The 20,271-nt window shown below is 38.9% G+C and overlaps 2 long non-coding RNA genes across 2 annotated transcripts in view, besides 1 other annotated feature; one reads left to right on the forward strand and one right to left on the reverse strand.

Annotated features, from left to right (window-relative positions):
- The window catches only part of CASC21 (cancer susceptibility 21), a 147,995-nt gene that overhangs the window by 92,657 nt on the left and 35,067 nt on the right, over nucleotides 1–20,271 (forward strand). Inside the window, exon 3 of the long non-coding RNA NR_117099.1 lies at nucleotides 1,988–2,142. This is a non-coding gene — a long non-coding RNA (cancer susceptibility 21). The remainder of the gene's footprint in view (nucleotides 1–1,987; nucleotides 2,143–20,271) is intronic.
- Nucleotides 1–20,271, reverse strand: part of CASC8 (cancer susceptibility 8) — a 192,464-nt gene that overhangs the window by 47,618 nt on the left and 124,575 nt on the right. The window lies entirely within an intron of this gene.
- Nucleotides 2,558–3,757: an enhancer, noted in NCBI's record as "CDK7 strongly-dependent group 2 enhancer chr8:128352096-128353295 (GRCh37/hg19 assembly coordinates)". NCBI's record gives its function as "activates an origin of replication core promoter dependent on BRD2, BRD4, P300/CBP, MED14 and CDK7 cofactors, with strong dependence on CDK7, by STARR-seq in HCT116 cells {active_cell/tissue: HCT116}" and the evidence as "EXISTENCE:reporter gene assay evidence [ECO:0000049][PMID:35650434]".

Consider the following 20,271-nt stretch of genomic DNA (forward strand, 5'->3'; position numbering starts at 1 on the left):
CACCATACCTGTGGTTCCCAGAATATGCAGCTTGTTGTAGACTTGTCTGCCCTTGCGTGTGCCTCCCTGCTGTACTCCTCTCACTTCTCCATTCCCATCGTTCTGGTGACTTCTCAGCCTCAATATTGCTGCTTCTGTAAAGACTTTCTTGAATTCCATTCCTCCAGCTCCAGCAGCTTACCTTCCCCAGGCATTGCCTCCTTTGTGCATGACTGTACATCAGCATTTACCACATTTCTATAAGTGACTTCTACTGGCCTTCAAACTCATCTCATGCCATGCTCTCCACTCAATCCATACCGGCCTCCTTCATTTCTCTAATGCGCCAAGTTCTTCATGGCCTCAGATCGCCTACACATGCTGCTTCCCTGGACTGGACAGTTCTTCCCCCGCATTGCACTTACTCTAACTCACCTTTCAGGTCTCAGCTTGAATGTCACTTCTTCAGAAAGTCCTTCAGTGACTACCTAGTCTTATGCAAGTCCCCACTGTTATAGCTTCCATGACACCTTTTGCTTAATTCACAGTACTTACCACGATTTTAATTCATTTTTGTGTTTTTCATTCGTCTATTTATTCCACGAATATTTATTAAGCACATATCATGTGCCATGCACAACTCTAAAGGTGGGATATTGTGGAGCAACTATCTTCTCAGCTATGAGGAGAGATAGATAATGAACATATACAGAGATAAATAAATTAAATAATTTTAAGCAATGATAAATGTAATTGAGAGGATAATATAGGGTGATATTTCTGAGAGTAACCAGGAAGAGGATACTATTTTAGTTCAGAGAAGAAGTGAGCCAGGCAGAAATGAGGGGAGCTATTCCAAGTAGACAATATCATGAGCAAAGCCCAGGGATAGGAATGAGTTTGAAATGTTCAAGGGACAAAAGAAAGTTCAGTGTTTATGGACAATGGTGAATGAGCAGGGACAGAAGGGAGAGTGAGGACATCGAAGTCAGCAGTCGAGATCAAGTCATGTCAGGTCATACAGATCATGATCATAAGTCTGGATTTTATTCTGGGAACAGTGAGAGCTCTGGCAGATTTAAAGGAGGGGGATAGCTTACACTTTAGAAAAATTACTCTGACTGCAAGTAAAGACTGGACTATTAAAAGTGAGTTCAGGCAATCCAGATATGAAGCTATTTCAGGAGCTCAGGCAAGGAGAGACAGTGTCTTGGACTGTCACAGCAGTGAGATGGTGAAAAGTGGTTGGATTTGGGATCTATTGGAGACATAATTGATAAGATTTATTGATGGATTGAATGGGGGTTATAAGAAATGAGACAAATCAAGGTTTTTAGGTTTTTTGCCTGGGAAGCAGGGTGTATTGTGGTACTCAAATTAGGCAGAGAAGTCTGTGGAGAGGGAGATTCCTTTGGAAGACTTCAGGGGTTGGGATCATTGTCATTATTGTGGCCATGTGAAATGTGCTATGCCCTTTAGATTCCAAGTGAAGATATCTACTGGGTAGTTACATGAATGTATTTAACTTAGAATATGAGTTTTTGCTGGAGATGTAAATCTGAAAGTCACCAGTACATATAGAAGGTATCTCAAGCTGTGAACTACATGAGATCATAAGGTAAAAGGGGACAGAGAAAAGAAAGGGATTAGGACAAAGCCTTGGGATACTTTGACATATAGACATCTATTCAATTTGGGAAGAGCCAGTATGGGCATTGAGAAGGAGCAGCCAGAAAAATATGAGAAAAACCAAGAGATTGTTATAGCAGAGAAATTGAGCTATAGCTAGAAGATGACCTTACCAGGCAGGATTCTAGTAAAAGTTAGAAGGCACAGTCAAATTAAGATAATTCTGGGAAGGTTTATTCATTAAAGTACTGTGTATGAAGATATGTGCAGGGCACGGGCAACCTTAAGAGATGGCATTGTAACTCTGTGCTTTGAGTGCAGTTTCTAGGGGAGTAAATACTCTGATGCTATTCTCCTCTCTTCCTCCAATCTCCTGCAGAGGTGCTTATTTAGCAAATTCAACCTTAAACCTGAGTGCATGGAAACTATTGATGCAGTGTCCAAGGTGGAGAAAGGTCAGAGTGGATCCAGAGGAGCCAAGAGAAGACGTCCAGCATGGTGACCTGGGCTCAAGTCAAGGTCCTTATTTCTCTGGTAAGAGCAAGGATACTAAAACATGTTTGAGTGCTGATGAAATTGATCCCATAGAGAGAAAAATGTTGAGAGTACTGGGGAAAAGGGGGATAGTTGTAAGAATGAGGTATTTTAAAGTGTTAGAAGAATGAGATCCAAAGAGCAAGAACTGGCTTGTCTTAGAGAGGAGTAGAGACAGATCTTCAATTATCATGGGAAGGAATGTACAGATGGAGCTAGGGGCATAGAATCAGTGGAGGGAATTGAAGATAATGTCTATTTCATCTAATTTTTCAGTAAAGTATGAAAATAAAACATCAGCTCACGGGGAGAGGTCCTGGAGACTTAAGGAGAGAGAAGATATGCAATGATTATCTCAGAAAATGGAAAAGTAAATCTGCTATAGAAATGTTAGATTAACTGATATCTGAGTTAGATTATCTGGTAACCAAGTGCACGTGCAAAGTGAGTCCTGCGAGTAATATTGTGATATTTCAACTTCTCAGGAGCAAGCTCAGACTAAGTGATTGTTTGGATTTATCCAGTATTTATCTAGTCAAGAATGGCAAAAGGAGAGAAAGGAAAGAAAGATAAGTGGTTTTTCAAGGCACTGATCTTAATGATGGGTCATAAATTATAAGCTGGAAGGTGAGAGAAGTGAAGATGAGAAGGGAAACATACATACAGACAAAGCTGTAGAAGGGTGAGTGGATTTGAGATAATGATGTCAGTCTCCAGAGGGAAGATGCCAGAATGAATAAGCTACTAGGACAGAAGAGTACTGTATGCAAGTGGAATGTACTGAAATCAAGATTTTGAAGATGATGCAATTGCTGGAGATGACAAATCCTAGGGCATGACTATGTGAGTAGGTGGCAGAGGTGGGTGGAGGAAGAAATGGTCAGAGCTACTAGGCCAAAGAGCTAAAGGGCCAGAGTCATAGAGATTCCACCTTCATGAATGCTGAATTTGCCAAGAATGATATCGGACAGAGAGGAGAAGAGGAAGAAGTAAGCCAGACATTCAAGTTATCAGTCAGTTAATAACAACAAAATAATTACAGACACTTACATGGCACTTAAAATATACCAAACACCATTCAGTGTACTTCACGTGTATTACCTCATTTAATCTTCACCTCTACCCTATCCTCATTCTAAAGATGAATAACCTGGGTCCCAAAGTATTAATTAATCTTTTTTACTGTCATAACTAGTAAATGGCAGAGACTGAATCCAACCTAGGCAATCTGATTCCAGGGTCTATGACCTTGACCATGAGTTTCCTCTACTGCTCTAAAAAACAAACAAAAAAAATAATAAAATATGTAAGTAAAGTCAACACTTTCCTCTATGCCAAGTTCTTCTGGGTAATGAAGTCTAATGATGGGCTTCAAAAATGCTAGGATTTTTGGAGTAGGGAAAGACAACAGAGAGAAAGGAGTTAGCTTCCTCACCCCCAGGCCTCAAGTTATCTGAGGTGTGAGAGATGAAACAAACAGTCACCAATCACAGGGGAAGCTGCTTTATCAGGGAACAGAAAGTCTTCATTTACATCAAGGAGGTGATAGGACCAAGAAACTGTGGAACATATGGGGGTTTATTCATGTCTTATTGTGAATTCCAGTGTGCAGAGAAAGATGGGGATAGATTCAGATTTGATTCACTGTCAATTCCAGGGGTGGGGAACAGGAGTTTAGAAGGGCAGAAAGAGATGGGGATAGAGTCATATTTGGGAAGCCTAGAGGCATGTCCATTGATAAGAGATTAGATGGGAGCCTTGACCTCTGATGGTGACTAAGGAGGGAGGGATGAGAGGTGTAATGGTTATGTGATAAGTCCCAGCAGTCCAGGAGCATCAGTGATAGAAGTCCTGGGTTGGGGAGGGAGCTTTACCTGAATACACTGAGACCTGAGGGGCTTGCCATTGCTGAGATACACTGACAACTGGCAATATGCAATAAGGTAAGACCCTCAGGGCAATTTATCTGGTCCATAAACATATTTTATTGGTCTTTACACCCCCGGAACCCAGCAAGGTTCCCAGCACACAGTTGGTGCCTGTACTCTTTACACAGGTAGCAATGTCAACCTCTCTCATTTCAACTTGAATTAATATCCTCCATGCTCACCCAACTTGCCACACTGGGCTTGGTTGTGTTCCCAAACCTACCAAGCTCCTTCTCATCTGAGAGTTTATGTAGTTATTAACCCATCTACCTGGACACCACCACTCCTACTCAGCCAGTTCCTTATATGCTTGGCTCTTTCTTATCACTCAAACCTCTGCTCAAATGTTTCCTTTTCAGAGATGACTTGCTTGGCTTCTTATCTTCAGCATCACACCGCTGTGTACCTCATCATCATATTTTATTTCTTTTAGAGCACTTATCAACAATCACTTGTGTATTTGTTTGTGCGTGTGTACACTACTGGTTTCTTGTACATTTTCTGTCTGTCTGCACTAGAATGCCTGTGAAGGCAGAAGCATAATCTGTCTGCCTTATCTTCATGTCCTGACACTTAAAATGGTAAATGCAGTAAACATTCATTGAAAAACTGTTGAAAAAATATTTTGTTTAAATATCTTCCAGGTTTTCAAGCACAACAACCATTGTATATTTAAAAAGCCCCCATAGTTCATGAATAACCAGCCCTCTGTAGCCTGGCAAGATCAGGATCTGGCTCAATATTCCCGAGACAGCTCATCACACTACATCTGCAACTAACCGTGTGGTTTCAGTGGCCAAAGCTGAATAGCTCACAAAGGGGAGTAAGCAAGTATTTGGCAGGGTCATTTGCCAAAGAGTCATTGCCCCTAATTTAAAAGCAATTAATTATGGGAATTAAGGAAAAGAAATGGTGTTCATGTCCCTGGGCCACCTTTTCTGAATGACTCAGGCGGCCCAGGGCAAGTCAGGACATAAAAGTAAAAATAAGCCCTGTGCTCTGAAGCCACTGAGGCTTTGACAACAAAGCTGATGAGATGGCAGGTCACAGGTAAGGAGACCTGAGTGTAGAAGATTTTAAAGAGCATGCCTTTCAAAGTAAAGGGAACAGAGGAAGAAAATGATTTTTGTAATTACAATTTAAAAATACTGATTAAAAAAAACAAAATAACTTAGCATGGGTTAAAGAGAGACAAGATTTACAGCACTGGGAAAACCAAGGAGAACCCGTGCAAAGTGTTGTCATGGGATTAAGCTATTGAGATAAGCCCTTTCCAGCTCGAATAGAATGTATTAGTTTGAAAGCAAAGTGGGCTTTGTCTCTGCCACTTGGTCCATTTGATTTTTATTTTCTGGTCAACTTGACCTTTGAGTCTTACTCAAGTGATTTTTGACCTAGTTGTGGCATAGGGCCTGAAGCTATATAAAACAGTAACTTATTTGATTACATTGCTCAGCCACTATAAGATTCCTTCATGTTTTTCCCTATTTTTGAAAACGTTTTCTCACCTCAGCTAAACAAAACCGGTCTTTTCAGTTTATGGCTACAAACAACAGCTCGTATTGTTTTAGTACCTTCCACAGTTAAGAAATGAATTTAGCAATCATCCAGTTAATTCCCAACTCTCTGCCCATTTTATGGATGAGCAAAGTAAGCCCTAGAGTGCTGAAGGACCTGGCTCAAGAGCACAGCTACCAGGTGGCAGGTTGCAGGACAGAAAACCCAGCTGTTGAGCCAAGTAGACCCACATTTGAATCTATCTCCACTATTCATTACCTGTATGAAGGGACCGTAGCTTCTGTATCTGCAACAAACAAGACTATTTCCTTTGACTGAACCTCAGTTTCCTCATCTATAATATGGGGAAAAGTTCATGAATTCCGTAAACATTTATAATGGAGAAGCACTATCCTGGAATCTAGGGATGTAGATACAATAAAATAAAAAAAAAAGACACGTGGAATTTACTCTTTTGATAAATTGGTAACTATGAATCTCATCAAAAGAAAGCAGAACGCAGATATTCTGAGTAGGGGGTTTGGGGGAGAAATAAGAGTGATTCCTCCTATCTGCTGCTAGGGCCATAAAGACACTACACCAAGAGGAAGTGTAGGCTTGGCCAGGTCCCTGTTCCAGGCCCTGTTGAAAAGGCTGTTAGCTCTCTCTCCTTCACACCTTCAGACTCTATACACAGACAATATTCTCTGTGCCTTGGTGTGTAGTATTCTAGAATAATGGCTTCTATTCAGTAGGGGTTTGACACAGACATTTTTCATGTTATAGCTCATACAGAAAATTTAGTTTTCATAGAAATCTATAGCCCAACACACGGATAGGTAAATGTTTCTGTAAAGGCCAGATGGTAAATATTTTTGGCTGTGTGAATTACATAGTTTCTGTCACAGCTGCTCAACTCTGCCATTATAGCTAAACAGAAGCCATAGACAATGTGGCCAAGGACAAGGATGGTGAAGTTTCCATAAAATTTGATTTACAAAAATAGGCTATGGGATGGATTTGGCCCACTAACTGTTTGCCAACCCCTGGCCTAGCACAAAGTTAAAACTCAATAAATATTAACAGTAATTGATTAAATCAAAAACACATTTACTGAGCGCCTTCTATGTGCCAGGTACTATCCTTGGATAGAGGATAAAGTATTCAGTGACAGGACACAGTTCTTACCCTCATTGAGCTTACAGTCTAATTCCTAAATAAGTTGTTATGAAATACAAAGCAATATGAATGAAACAACTGTGGTTTTGAGATAAATAATAATCAGAAACCCAGATCATCTGACATCAAAGCGTACATTCTTATATTGCTTATAAGCTATTTGGGGATGAGAAATAAATCTATTCCTATCATATCATACTGATTATGTTATACTGACTAGCACAGTTCTGGGCACACATTAATCACTTCACAGAAAACGTGCTGACTTTAATATCATAGTAGGGGATTTGGGTTGTAACGGAGATGGAGAACTTTGTATATATGACTTTTCCATCTTTACAATCTTCTTTCACTTTGTAGATGCATTAAAAATTGCCTGGCTAACTGATGTGAGTAATATGTCATTGAGCCCAAGGCCATGGGGAATACTAAAGCAACCTGTTTAAATCCCAAATCTCAAATGACTTTGAAAAAAATTGTGGACTAAAAGCAGGAAATCATCCCAAGACCTTGTCTTAACCTAAATTCCCCCTAAAAAGTAAGACCTGGGATAGAGACTTTCAGAGAGTTTATTTTGGAGAAGTAACTTCAAGAAATGGGGGGTGGGAGTTGTGGAGAATGAAACAGGGAATGGACAGGTGCACTATGGAGCTAACACCACTGTGAGCATCTGGGGCTCAGTCCCACTTACAGACCCTCTGAGAAGCCTTGTAGAATGCTCTGTAGAATTGCTACCTAGGGGATAGAAGAGGGGATTACTTATCCACCACTTCACCTTCACTGGTCAAGGGTTATCCCAGAAGGTGCTACCTCTTCTGTACTCTGAGTTGCATATGCATCAGAATGACTGAGCAGGTTCCTTTAAGTACTGCATATTAGCCATGTCATAAAAGGCCCAGGGCAGAAAGCAAGACTTCAAGGGTGCGGCCAAGGCTAGATGCTGTTGGTTTGACCTGCGTGGTAACTGGTTATTTTAGCAATGGCTGGAGTAGAACATGTAGACCAAGAAGGTGTAAGATGGAACGCAAGAGCATAACAGTATTCAGGATACAGCAATATTCAGGGACATAGAAGTATTCAGGGATGCATCACAGAAAGTTCTATGCTTTGTTTGGAGTGAACACCCAACCATGTGTCTACCACCAGTTCTCACTTCCAAACTTCCTTCCTCAATTGAGATAATGATAATAATCCACCTTCATGTACCACGTGCATAGTACTTTTATGAACATTTGACTCTCACAGAAATCTTGTGATGTAACTAAGGTCTGACTATTATTCTTCCTTTTTTCTACATAAGGAGACCAAGCTCAGACAAGTTAAGAGAATTAATTGCCTAAAGCATCATTTTCCAATGGAATTGTCTGTGATGATGAAAATGTTCTACACATTGTCCAACACAGTAGCCATTAGCCACATGCAGCCACTGAGCCCTTGAAATGTAGTTCACATGACTAAAGAACTGAATTTTTAATTTCATTCAATGTTAATTAATTCTGATTTAAATTTTAATGGCCACATGTAGTGAGTAGACAAAGCAGTGGCAGACACTTTAACATGTCTTTTTCATATTGTATTCAAAATACTTTTCACTGTTGAAGTGCAATGAAAGAAATGTGTTGACTTTCTTCATATTGCGTTCTTATTTACATAGTCAATTATAAATTAAACGATTTCCTTGTTTTCTTGCTATCACCTGGTTGCTTTCCAGCATTAACTGTAATGTTAAAAGGAGGGACTTACCCAGAAATAACACTGAATGCAACCTAAAGCAGCAAGAATCTTCATGGGAACAGAATAAACACAAAGGATGTCTACCCTTCCTCCCTCCACCCACTTGGATTCTTGTTTCTAGTTTGCACCTGGACATAAGGCCATTTTGTACTTCCACACATAGAGCAAAACTGTTCTACACACCTAAAATTATAGTGTGTACCTTGTGCAACAATGCATCTAAAACACAATTTGCATAAGGTGAGACTTGCATAACTTGGGGTTGAGATTTAAGACTCTATTTCAAATCTTCTGAGTTTTAAGTTTAGGACTCTTAAGCCTAGGACTTTTTATTTCATATTTTACCATTTCTTAATTCAAGTATGATAAGCATGTCAAATTCATGTTCATTCAATAAATGATTCACGAGCTACTAACTTACACTACAATTGTTTTTTAAATATTTATGTGTTGTTTGGAGAGAAAGAGGCATTTTAAATCTAAAGACAGTAGTAGATCATCCATCCTGAATTGTTAGAGAATGAGACACCTCATATTCGTGTATTTTTCAGAAGACCGAAGCTTACTTTAACCCTTAAAGAATGAGCTTTAAAATCCTATCCATTTTTGGGGGGAAATATTTCTGCAAGAAGTCTCTTACTTTCTTAAGCAGAGTATTTCAAACTGTTTTATCATGAATTGACAATCTATAATTGTATAAATTTATGGGGTACAACATGATGTTATAATTTATGAGTGTGATGTGGAATAACTATATCAAGCTAATTAATATTTTCATTACCTCAAATACTTAACATTTTTTGTAGTGAGAACATTTGAAATGCACTCTTAGCAAATTTGAAATGTACAATTCTCTATTATTAACTATGTTCAACACACGGTCCAATAGAACTCAAAAAAGAATAAATCACATCATTCATGTCTCACAGATTTTATACCCTTTAATCATTAATTCTCCATTCCCCCAGCCTCTGTAACCAGCATTCTACTCTGTTTCTATGAGTTTGTTTTAGATTCTACATTTAGGTGAGAAGATGTGGTATTTGTCTTTCTGTGCCTGACTTATTCTACCTAACATCAAGTTCTTCAGTACCATTCGTGTTGTCCAGATGACAGAATTTTCTTTTTTAAGGCTGAATAGTATTCCACTGTGTATATATACCACATTTTCTGTATCCATTCATCCATTGATGAACACTTAGCTTGATTCCATAACTTGACTCTTGTGAATAGTGTTAAATGAATATAGAGGTGCAGACATCTATTTGACAAACTGATTTCAAATGTTATGGGTTAATTCCCAGAAGTAGGATTGCTGGATCACATGGTAATTCTATTTTTCATTTTTTGAGGAAGCTCCATACTGGATTTTATGATGGCTGTACTAATTTACATGTCACCAAAAGTGTACAAAGTTTCCCTTTTCTCCCCATCCTTACCAACACTTGTTATCTTTGTTTTTTTGATATGCCACTCTGACAAGTGTTGAGTGATATCTTCTTATGGTTTTAATTTGTCTTTCCTATATCATTAACAATGTTGAGCATTTTTTTGAAAACATATTTGTGGCCATTCGTCTTCTTTTAAGAAATGTCTATTCAGATTCCATTTTTTAATTGGGTTTTTTGTTAAGTGAGCTCCTTCCATATTTTGGATGTTAGCCCCTTTTTGGATATATGGTTTACAAATATTTTCTCCCATTCTGTGGGTTGTCTATGCATGCCAGTAATTGTTTCCTTTAAGATGCAGAAGTCCTTTAATTTGACGTAATATTTTGTCTATTTTTGCTAGACTAATGTCTTGTAGTTTTTTCCTATGTTTTCTTATAGTAGTTTTAGAGTTTCTGGTCTTAAATTTAAGTATTTAATCTAATTCAAGTTAGTTTTTATACATGGTATGAAAAAAGCATCAATTTTCATTTTTCTGCATGTAGAAATTTGTTTTTTCTAGCATCATTTATTGAACAAACTATCATTTTCTCATTGTGCACTCTTGGAACCTTTGTCAAAAATCAATTGACCATGTATGTGTGGGTTCATTTCTGAATATTCTATTCTATTTCATTGGTCCATGTTTCTACTCTTTTGCCAATACCATGCTGTCTTAATTACTACAGCTTTGTAGTATAGTTTGAAATCAGATGGTGTGATACCTCCACAAACATTTTTCTTTAATCCATTCACTTATACATTCATTTATTCTTTCAGCACATATAAAACAAATACTACCCATAGACCATGCACTGCAAAAGGGTCTGGGGCAGTCCAAGGAAATAAATCCATTCTGCTCTCAAGAAACTCAAAAGTCTTGAACAAAATACCAGTGTCCCATTCAGTCATTGTTATTCAGAATCCAAATCTTCTGGAAGCCATGTCTTTAAAAGAGTAAAAGAAACAAGTGTAATCAAGTTTAATACTATATTTTAACTCAATATATCCTAAATTTTATCCTTTCAACATGTATTCAATATTTAAAAATTGTTAAGGTATTTTACATTTTTTTTATATTTAGTCTTCAAAGTTCCAAGTGCATTTTATATGTACAGAACATCTCAATTCATATCAGTCATGTTTTGAGTGCTTAATAGCCACATGTGACTAGTGGCTTTTCTATTGGACATTGCAATTTCAGAGCAAAACAAGTATTGGTGATTAATCACCAATTCACTACAAGGAAGCAGATACTTAAATATTTCAACTTTGTATGTCTGTTAACTTCATATATTCATATGCCATATGAATATTTTAAGTTCATATGGTTTCTCATTCTTCCGCCTCACTCTCAGGCAGCCTGATTTCCTTCATTATTGTTGCAAATTTGCTTATGTCTAGCAAATGCCAGTGCCTCCTGTTTGTCATTATTATAGTCTGATATAAGCTAGAAAAAATTGGTAGTAAAATCGTGTTGTATTATTCAAAACAGAGTAAATGGGCTCTAAGTAGGGGCTAAAGAGGCATTTCTGTGAATAAAACATACACATATTAACGTATAAAATTTCTAACACAGGTTTGACTTCTCAGAAGCCTCCTCTCTCTTTCAGTCTTCTTGGTCAGTGGTCTTCCAAGTGTTGTCCTCAGGCCCACAGCAGCAGCAGCACCCAGGGAGTTGTTAGAAAGGCAAAGTCCTGGTCCCCACCCCAGACCCAGTGAATCAGAAACTCTGTGGGTGAAGTATATAGCAATCTGTGTTTATAAGCCCTCTGGGTGATTCTGGTGCCCACTAAAGTTTGAGAACCATTATTCTAAAATGTTCAGACTGCTATATACATGGACTTGAGATGAATAAGTGTTCCTTTACTACTTTTAAAGTCAGTATTTTGATTACTTGAAAAGGTAACAAAGAGGTCTGTTTTTTCTCTTTGAAACATGGTAGTAAAGTTATGTCAGTTAATATATGTACATATTACTTTCTTATTGCTGCTGTAGTGAATTATTAAAAATTTTACTGACCTAAAACAGGAAAAAAATAATTTTCTTTTAGTTCTGGCAATTAGAAGCCCCAAAGGGGTCTCACTGGGCTAAAATCAAGGAGTCAGCAGAACTGCTTTCGTTCTTGGAGGCTTTAAGGGAGAATTTATTTCCTTGTCTTGGCAACTTCTAGAGGACACCCACATTCCTAGGCTCATGGTCTCTCTAGCTTCAAAGCCAAAAACATCCGATGAAGTCATTGTCAGGTCGCAGCTCTCTGGTTCTCCCTATTCTGCTTCCCTCTTCTACTTTTAAGAGGTTTTGTGATTACATCGGACCCACCTGGCTAATCCAAGAACACCACCTCATCTCGTGTTCAACTGATTAGCAACATTAATTCCATCTGCAACTTTAATGCCTCTCTGGCATGGACCCTAACATATTTACAGGTTCCAGGAATTAGGACATGGGTATCTTTGTGGATCATTATTAATTAGACAGTGATATATCCTAATGCAAAAATTTTAAAAATTATTTACCCTTGCACATTTTCAGGTTGACATCTAGCATTTTTCACTACAGTTGCAAAGGATGTCATTTCTTGCATTTTGCAAATCTCAATATTTACATCACTCTTAAAAATATCTAAATGAATTTAAATGTGATGGCAATTTGATATAGTTATTATCCATTTAATTTGTTTTTCTATACAGGTATGAACTCTTTTCCAACAGTTGAAATTGTATAGCCTTCCTTTTTTTTCCTAGCAAACATGTTCCCACTTTCTTTCTCCAGAGAATATTATATTCACATATTTTCCACACTTTAGGGTTTTTCTTTGATTACTCCAACACACATCTCTACAACAAAATTATACACATACTGTACATATAATTATGCACATAGATATGTGTGTACATTCAATTTTCTGTGATCATAAAGTTTAATGAGTTTAAATTTTTTCTTCATACATATATAAATGTTAATGCAATTAATGTGAACAGACAATTGAGCTAAAGAGATTATCCATTTTCTAAATATTTTAACTTAAAAAATAAATTTCATTAGAAAGACACCTCTTTGTCATATATGGGGGTGGAGAGAGAGGACATTATGGCATCTTGATTAGATGAAGCTTTTTTAAACAATATTTCAAATAGTCCCTCTGAAGTTTTCACATCTCAGCACAACCCTTTGTAGTATGAGTCTGTGTGTAAGAGACAAGGCTTGATTTGGTAAAGTGGGACAGGATCAACAGTGAAAGCAATAAGAAAGTCAGGATGCCCAGTCGACGCGGAGCGACTTTTCTCACAGGATGTGCAGACTGTGCAGCAGATACAATTATAAATGCATCATGCATTATTTTCTTCGAGTGCAATCACAAAATAGAACGTATCAGCAGTCCAATATTTATAGGGCACACATCTCTAGCAGTACTACAAATAGCATGACTGCCTGTGGGTGAGGTAATATGCTTTATGCATCCCAACTATCAATAATAAACACAAATTCCAGTCAACCATGCTAGAGGAAAGACTGAGTTAACTTCTGATTCCCTGTAAAGAAAATGATATTGAGACACCACTGTCATCTGGCAGGGAGATCTTTGAAAAGACAGGCAGCCCAAAAAAGTAGCAAAGAAGTTTTATTCAATTGTGTTTAAAAGAAATTAATTAAAATATTACTATGTAGATTTTTCTGACATTAATTATATTTGTTAATTTTAGTTCATTGTGCAACTTGTGATATCTTATTCTGAGTAAATATTCATTTTCACAACTAATTCTGTATTTATAATTGGTATGCCTTTTAAAAGGGAAACTCTATTAAGAAGTTTAAAATATAACTCAATAAATCATTGTCAAGCCAAATTGAATGGAATTCACATTCACTTCTTTTTCTTTTCTTTCTTTCTTTTTTTTTTTTTTTTTTTTTGAGACAGAGTCTTACACTGTTGCCTGGCCTGGAGTGCAATGGCACAATCTCAGCTGGGCTCACTAAAACCCCCGCCTCCTGGTTCATGCGATTCTCCTGCCTCAGCCTGCTGAGTAGCTGGGATTACAGGCACACACTGCCATGCCCGGCTAATGTTTTTTTTTTTTTGCATTTTTAGTAGAGACAGGGGTTTCACTATGTTGGCCAGGCTGGTCTCCAACTCTTGACCTTGTGATCTGCCTCCCTCAGCCTCCCAAAGTGCTAGGATTACAGGTGTGAGCTACCGTGCCTGGCCATGGAATTCATTTAATCAAATGAAAAACAATTACTATTAACTGACTCCTGGTGTATGTCAGCCACTCTGTTTAGACTGTTTGGAAATGGTGTTTTATTTACTTCTCAAAAAACAAGTGACCAAGTACAAGCATGCAGAACCTTATATGTATCATTGTTCATATTTCACTGCCAAGGAAAAATTAAGTAGAATATTCAGTCTCACAGCCAAACAACTCAGAATTAGATACTAGAATATTTTGACAATAAGTAGTAGAAACCATCAAATCATTATTCATACACTCAAGGGGTAGCTCACGGTAGGCGCAACATAGAGCAAAGAAAGTGGGAAAGAGAGCTCAGCATGGTTGCGGTGGCGATGGCGATGGAAACCAGGTATAACTTTAAATAGGGAGTTCAGGAAAGGCATCATCAATAGGGCAACGCTTGAGAAAAATTCAAGAGACAAGAGGAATCAGTCATGTCAATATCTGAGGCGTGAGCATTGCAACAGCAAATGCAAATGTTTAAGGTATTCTGGTGTTTGATGAACAAAACAAAAGCCAATAAATAAAAGTGGCAAACAGTGACAGCTGAAGCTGGGGTTGGGTGTGGTTTGCAGCTCACAGAGGATTTGTAAGCCTTTATTGGGTTTTCAGCTTCTACTCTGAGCAAATTGCAAAGCTGCTGTGGGAGGATGCAGAGTTACTGATCTAACTCACATTCTCCAACCTGACTGTAGCTGCTAAGTGGAAACTAGGCTGAAAGTTGGGGATGGTGGAGCAAGGGGAATCAGGTAGAAGGCCATTGTAGTAATCCAAACAAGGTAGTGACAGCAGCAGAGGCGGTGAGAAATGATCCAATCATAGACTTATTTTGAAGGCAGAGCCAGAGGATCTGCTGATGGTATCAGGGAGGTATGAGAGAGAAAGGTCAAAAATGACTCCAATTTTTCTTTTTCTTTTTTCTTTTTTTTTTTTTTTTAACCCTGAGCCAACTGCAAGAATGGAGTTTCCATTTATTCCAGGGCAGTCATTGTGCTAGGTTTTTTATTCAAATTATCTATAATTCTCATGCCAACCCAACATTGCAGGCAAGATGGCAGAAGCAAGGGTAGAAACAAAACTCTGCCTGTCTCAAAGTCCTCTGCATCACACTTAGCAGCTCCATGATCTGGGGCAATTATCACTTTTAAGAAGGATTTGGCATGTGCTAGGCACAGTGCTAAACCTTCTTACATTAATTTTTCGATTTAATCCTCAAAACAACTTGATCTGGAAAGCGTTGTTTATCTACATTTTCAGACAAGGAAAGTGAGGCACAGAAAGGATGAGTTGCGTACAGTTGCACGGTGAGGAGGTAGCAGAGCTCAGATGGGGAAGTACTAATGTGTCTTTATGACTCCAGAGCCCAAACGCCTCGCCCTTACATTAGAACCCTCAAACTTATTCAGCTGGAATTGCCTCATCTATACACTGGGAATTATATTTGCCTTTTAACTTAATTATACATAAATTAGCTGGCATACTGTAGACACCCAATATCAGTGTCTCTTTATCAATGTAACGTATGCATGATGTCATGGAATTAGCACATAATGCTGATCCGCTACTCCTAGTGACAAATCCAAATGTCTGAATATGTCTCTGTAATCAAGGTTTTATTTTGCTTCATTTTTAAGCCACAATTTTGAGTAAAATTCTTCTACCTCTTGATAAACAAGCAGTGAGTGGTGGCATGTGCAGAGAGATGGAAGGAGTTACCAGTGGACGTGTTGCCTCTCCAAGACAAGGCCAAGCAGCCAGTTCAGGAAATAAGATAAATGGAAGTGGTGGCAGGGCCTAACCCTATCCACACAAGTAAAAGTCATAAGGGGTCTCAGTGGTATCATTTTTAAGAAGACAATCAAGGACTTAGAATCCCAATCTGCCCATCTTCTCTAACCTCATCTGTCAAATATTAGTTTTAAGTGACAGGATTTCTTAATCCTTTCCAGTTTTATATATCTATGAGTGGGGAGGGAGAGAAGATAGAGTAAAAGAAGAAGGACAAGGAAAGGAAGACGCAGGAAGGAGCTTCCTTTGATGCCTTTCAGAGATTCTATTTGCCCTGAGAATGGCTAATTGCATTTTCAGCCTTCTATGACTGATTGAGAAGACCCAGAATTTCTCCTGGTCCACAGTTTCTCCACCTTGAAGAAAATGACTGTGAGACCTCAAAGAGCCATTCTGGGTGTAATGATAACAAACAGAGGGGGAATGCCATGAGGATTTGAGATGAAAGATGCGATAGATGTATAAGTACTACATAGGTATGCAAAAAATGAACGAGGCATGATGTCTGCCTGAGAGGCCACACAAGCAGCAGTTAGATATCCAGTGAAAGATCTCCATGGGCAGGAAGGCAGATGACACCTCAGGTCCAGGAGCTGAAGTGAGCATCACTCAGTTGACAGAAAGCATCTAGAATGTGTCAGCGAAAGGCACTGGAATTATCATTCCTTCTTGAGAAGGAAAGAAGAAGAAAGAAGAAGGAGGAGGAGGAGCAGGAGGAAGAGGAGCAGGAGGAGCAGGACAAGGAGGAGGAAGTCTTCTTCCCTTGAGGAATTCTTAGTCTCCTGGGAAAGATAGCTCTTTATACTGATAATATGCCACATTTTCTTATGGGTCTTGATGGACATGCACAAAGTTTAAAAATATCACAAAAAGGAGAGATGATTGAGAGTAGCTGATAGAGGGTGAAAGCAGACTTTACAGGGTACTGGATGCCGTAATAGAGCTGTGAGCACTAAACTGGAATGTGCCAAACACAAGAGAGAATCGTGGTGCCCTTCCTGGTAGAGGAAAAAAAAAAAAAAAACACGTGCAAGGGCAGAGGAAGGAAACCATCTGGCATAGGATGCCACTTCTTATCTTAAATGAGAAATCCATGACCTCCAGCCATCAAAGCTTCATTCATTCACAAGTCCTCTCTGGATCCATCCACTGCGAAAAGGAGCCCAAAGATAATGAATTTGTAAAATTTTCATTTTCAACCCTTAATTACATGGAATATATTGAGCTTCTAGCATATAGCTTGGCATATAGTAGGTGCTCAATAAATAATATTAAATTTATATTAATATAAAGGGAAAATAGGGAACTACAAAAACGTTTTTGTCAGTAGCAATTTTCTTGAGGTATTCTTTCTTAATCAGTCATACTCTCTTGATATGAAATTTAATTCCATTCAACAAGCATTTGCCGAGTGTCAGCTGTGTTTCAGGCACTCAGGAAGACAGGCAGAGCTGCCTCTCAGCTGGTGCGCACCAGAATGTTCTAGGAGGCTTCCATCTTGGTTGGCTGGAGAGCATGATTGCCAGTTGTGAATGATGAATATCTCCCTGAGTCCAGAGATGAATCAGATCCTGTCCTTGCTCTCAATGATTTACAATCAGCTGGGTCAGTTGTGGATCTTTCTTGCAGCAGGAAGTTTGGAGACCAGCCCTGCCACTGAATTACTGCGTAACTAGGAACAGCCACTGAGCCACTTACAAATGAGTTTCTCCACATGTAGTCAGTAATAATCTCACCTTCCCACCTCACAGGGATTACACCAGTTACTAAGCTATTGTTTCTCATCTCCAAACCCACCCTCCTATACCCTGCTTGGACTTTGAAAACTGCCCTAGTCCTGAGCTGCTTGGCCCCCTGTTCTGTTCTGCCAAACTGGAAGGCAAGAGTCCAGAATGAAAAAATAACTTGTTTTTGGCTGGGCACTGTGGCTCATACCTGCAATCCCAGCATGGGGTGGGTGGATAACCTGAGGTCAGAAGTTCAATACCAGCCTGGCCAACATGGCAAAACCCCATCTCTACTAAAAATACAAAATTAGCCGGGCATGGTGACAGATGCCTGTAATCCCAGCTATTCTGGAGGCTAAAGCAGGAGAATCGCTTGAACCCGGGAGGCAGAGCTTGCAGTGAGCTGATGTCATGCGACTGCACTCCAGCTTGGGTGACAGAGTGAGACCCCATCTCAATTAAAAAAAAAAAAAAGGAAGAACTTGTTTTTGCTGCACTGTTTGCTATTCCTATAAGTGTCATCCTGGAACAGTCTTCATCTAGTGGCAACAGATGATTCTAGTTTTCTGCTTTTTTCCACTCTCAGACCAGCCTCATCATGCCCCTGGAGAGGTACCAGTGCCAACTGGCAGGGCAGCACCTTCTCTTCACCAGTAGGGATCCCATCTTCATAGGTTCTCTTTTCCAAATGTCTTGAATCTGATAACCCCAATCTCTTATATTTGTAAGGTTAATAACTGCTTCCTGCAGTAACTTCACTTTTTTTTTTTTTACCTTTTCATTCCTCTTGTATTTAGCCAGTTCCCTATTAAATTTTCCATTAAGACAACTAGTGTGGTTTTTATTTTCTACACGAGAGCATGATGGATTTGGTGATGCTATGACAATTGATTCACATTTACTTCCACAAACATGTGTTCTGTCTTTGCTATGCTAAGATGCCATGCTAAGTGGTAAGGACACAAAGATGAAAAAGAAAGAAAGTCTGACCTCAAGGATGCTCCTGAGCTAGAAAGACACATACCATGCTCACTCTGTACAAAACCAATCAGGCCATACTCCAAGGTAAAATGCAAATACTGCCAACAAAGTGCAGTGGCCACACACAGCGGGCAGTGACTGATTCTAACTGAAAGAGTCTTACTGGCTGACAACAGGGCTGCTCCATGAAGAATGAAATTTTATAGAGAAAACAGAAGAGGAGTGGGTGGACGCACAGGAAACAGCAAGAGCCCAGAAGAGTAAAATTGTTCAGAATGTCAGGGAAAGGCAAGCAGCTCAGCAGAGTAGAAACAACACTGAAGCTGTGATGGGAGCGTGTAAGAGCTGAGGCAGGAAGGGGGTGGTGGGTCCTTGGATGGCATGAGAAGAATTTGAACTCTTATTCTCCTAAAAGTAACAGACAGTCATCAAAGGAATTTGTTTGAAGAGTGTCATGGTCAGATCTGCCTTTCCAAAGATCACTCTCGGTATCCCAGAGAAGATAGGAAGTTGAGCTGTGAAAGGAACTCCACTGGGAGATAAAAGGACTAAAGTAGGGCATTGGAGGGGTGTGTGGAGTAAGGGGCAAATTTGAATGAGATAACATATGTAAAATTACTTTGAAACATATAGAATCTTGATAGAAAATCTAGGTATTATTCTTGTTTCCCTTCATTTCTTGCCACTATGCTAACAGTAGCCACATCCCAAGTAGGCAGGCATCCATGTCAACTTCAGGCTCTAGATCTTGCATACTTTTCTCTATTCCTCCTGGAACACATTTGCAGACATTTAAACATTTTCAAATTCTATCTTGTTCAGTCAATCTCTTTTCTAATAATTATATCGTTATACAGTCTGGGCATTAACTCCTTCCAGAGCTCAAGCCCTGTTTAGGGAAGCTTATTGGCCAGTGATTGTTAGATCTCCAAATGACTTCTTGGACAAGATTTGGAGTCCTACAGTGTGGATCAAGATTAAGCTTGGCTCTGTCATTTACTGGCCTCAAAATGTCTTGTCAATTCTCATTTTCTTAACCCGTAGAATGGGAATCCCAGTACCTATCTCAAAGTAAGTGATTTCCTGGGATATAACAATGAAGTCTGTAGGAAATCTAGCATGAAGCTCAATCTACTTGAAAGCACGGTCAGAGCATTCTTTGGGAGTAAAGTCTTCTGTGTTCATCACTGTATATTTATTGACTGGCTAGCTCATTCAAATTAGCATTTGCTTGTCTTATTTTATTTTTTGTTTAGTCTACGTGAACATAATGAGGGTCACTTCTGTTCCATAGTGTTCTTATAGAAGCAGAAATACTGAAGAAAATTCCATCTCCTTATATTTCACTGCATCACCTTTTGCAGTTTCCCAAAGTCTTTCATTTTAATGAACAGACTGGCCTTTTTCAGAAGCCAAGGGATTGTTATGTCCATATTACAAGAGAGAAAATTGAGACCCAAAGGCAGGGAATGATTTGAGCATGTTCACAAGGCTAAAATAATAAAGTTGGGACTGGAATCAGATGTGTCCAACTATATAGTTCATTCTATCCTGGACCACAGAGTGGTAGTAAGATGGCCAGGATTTGCTGTTGGGGATGGGGAAGAGTTGTGTTCAGGAAGGAGTTAGGGGT

Source organism: Homo sapiens, chromosome 8 (assembly GCF_000001405.40).
Source record: "Homo sapiens chromosome 8, GRCh38.p14 Primary Assembly".
Lineage (NCBI taxonomy): Eukaryota > Metazoa > Chordata > Mammalia > Primates > Hominidae > Homo > Homo sapiens.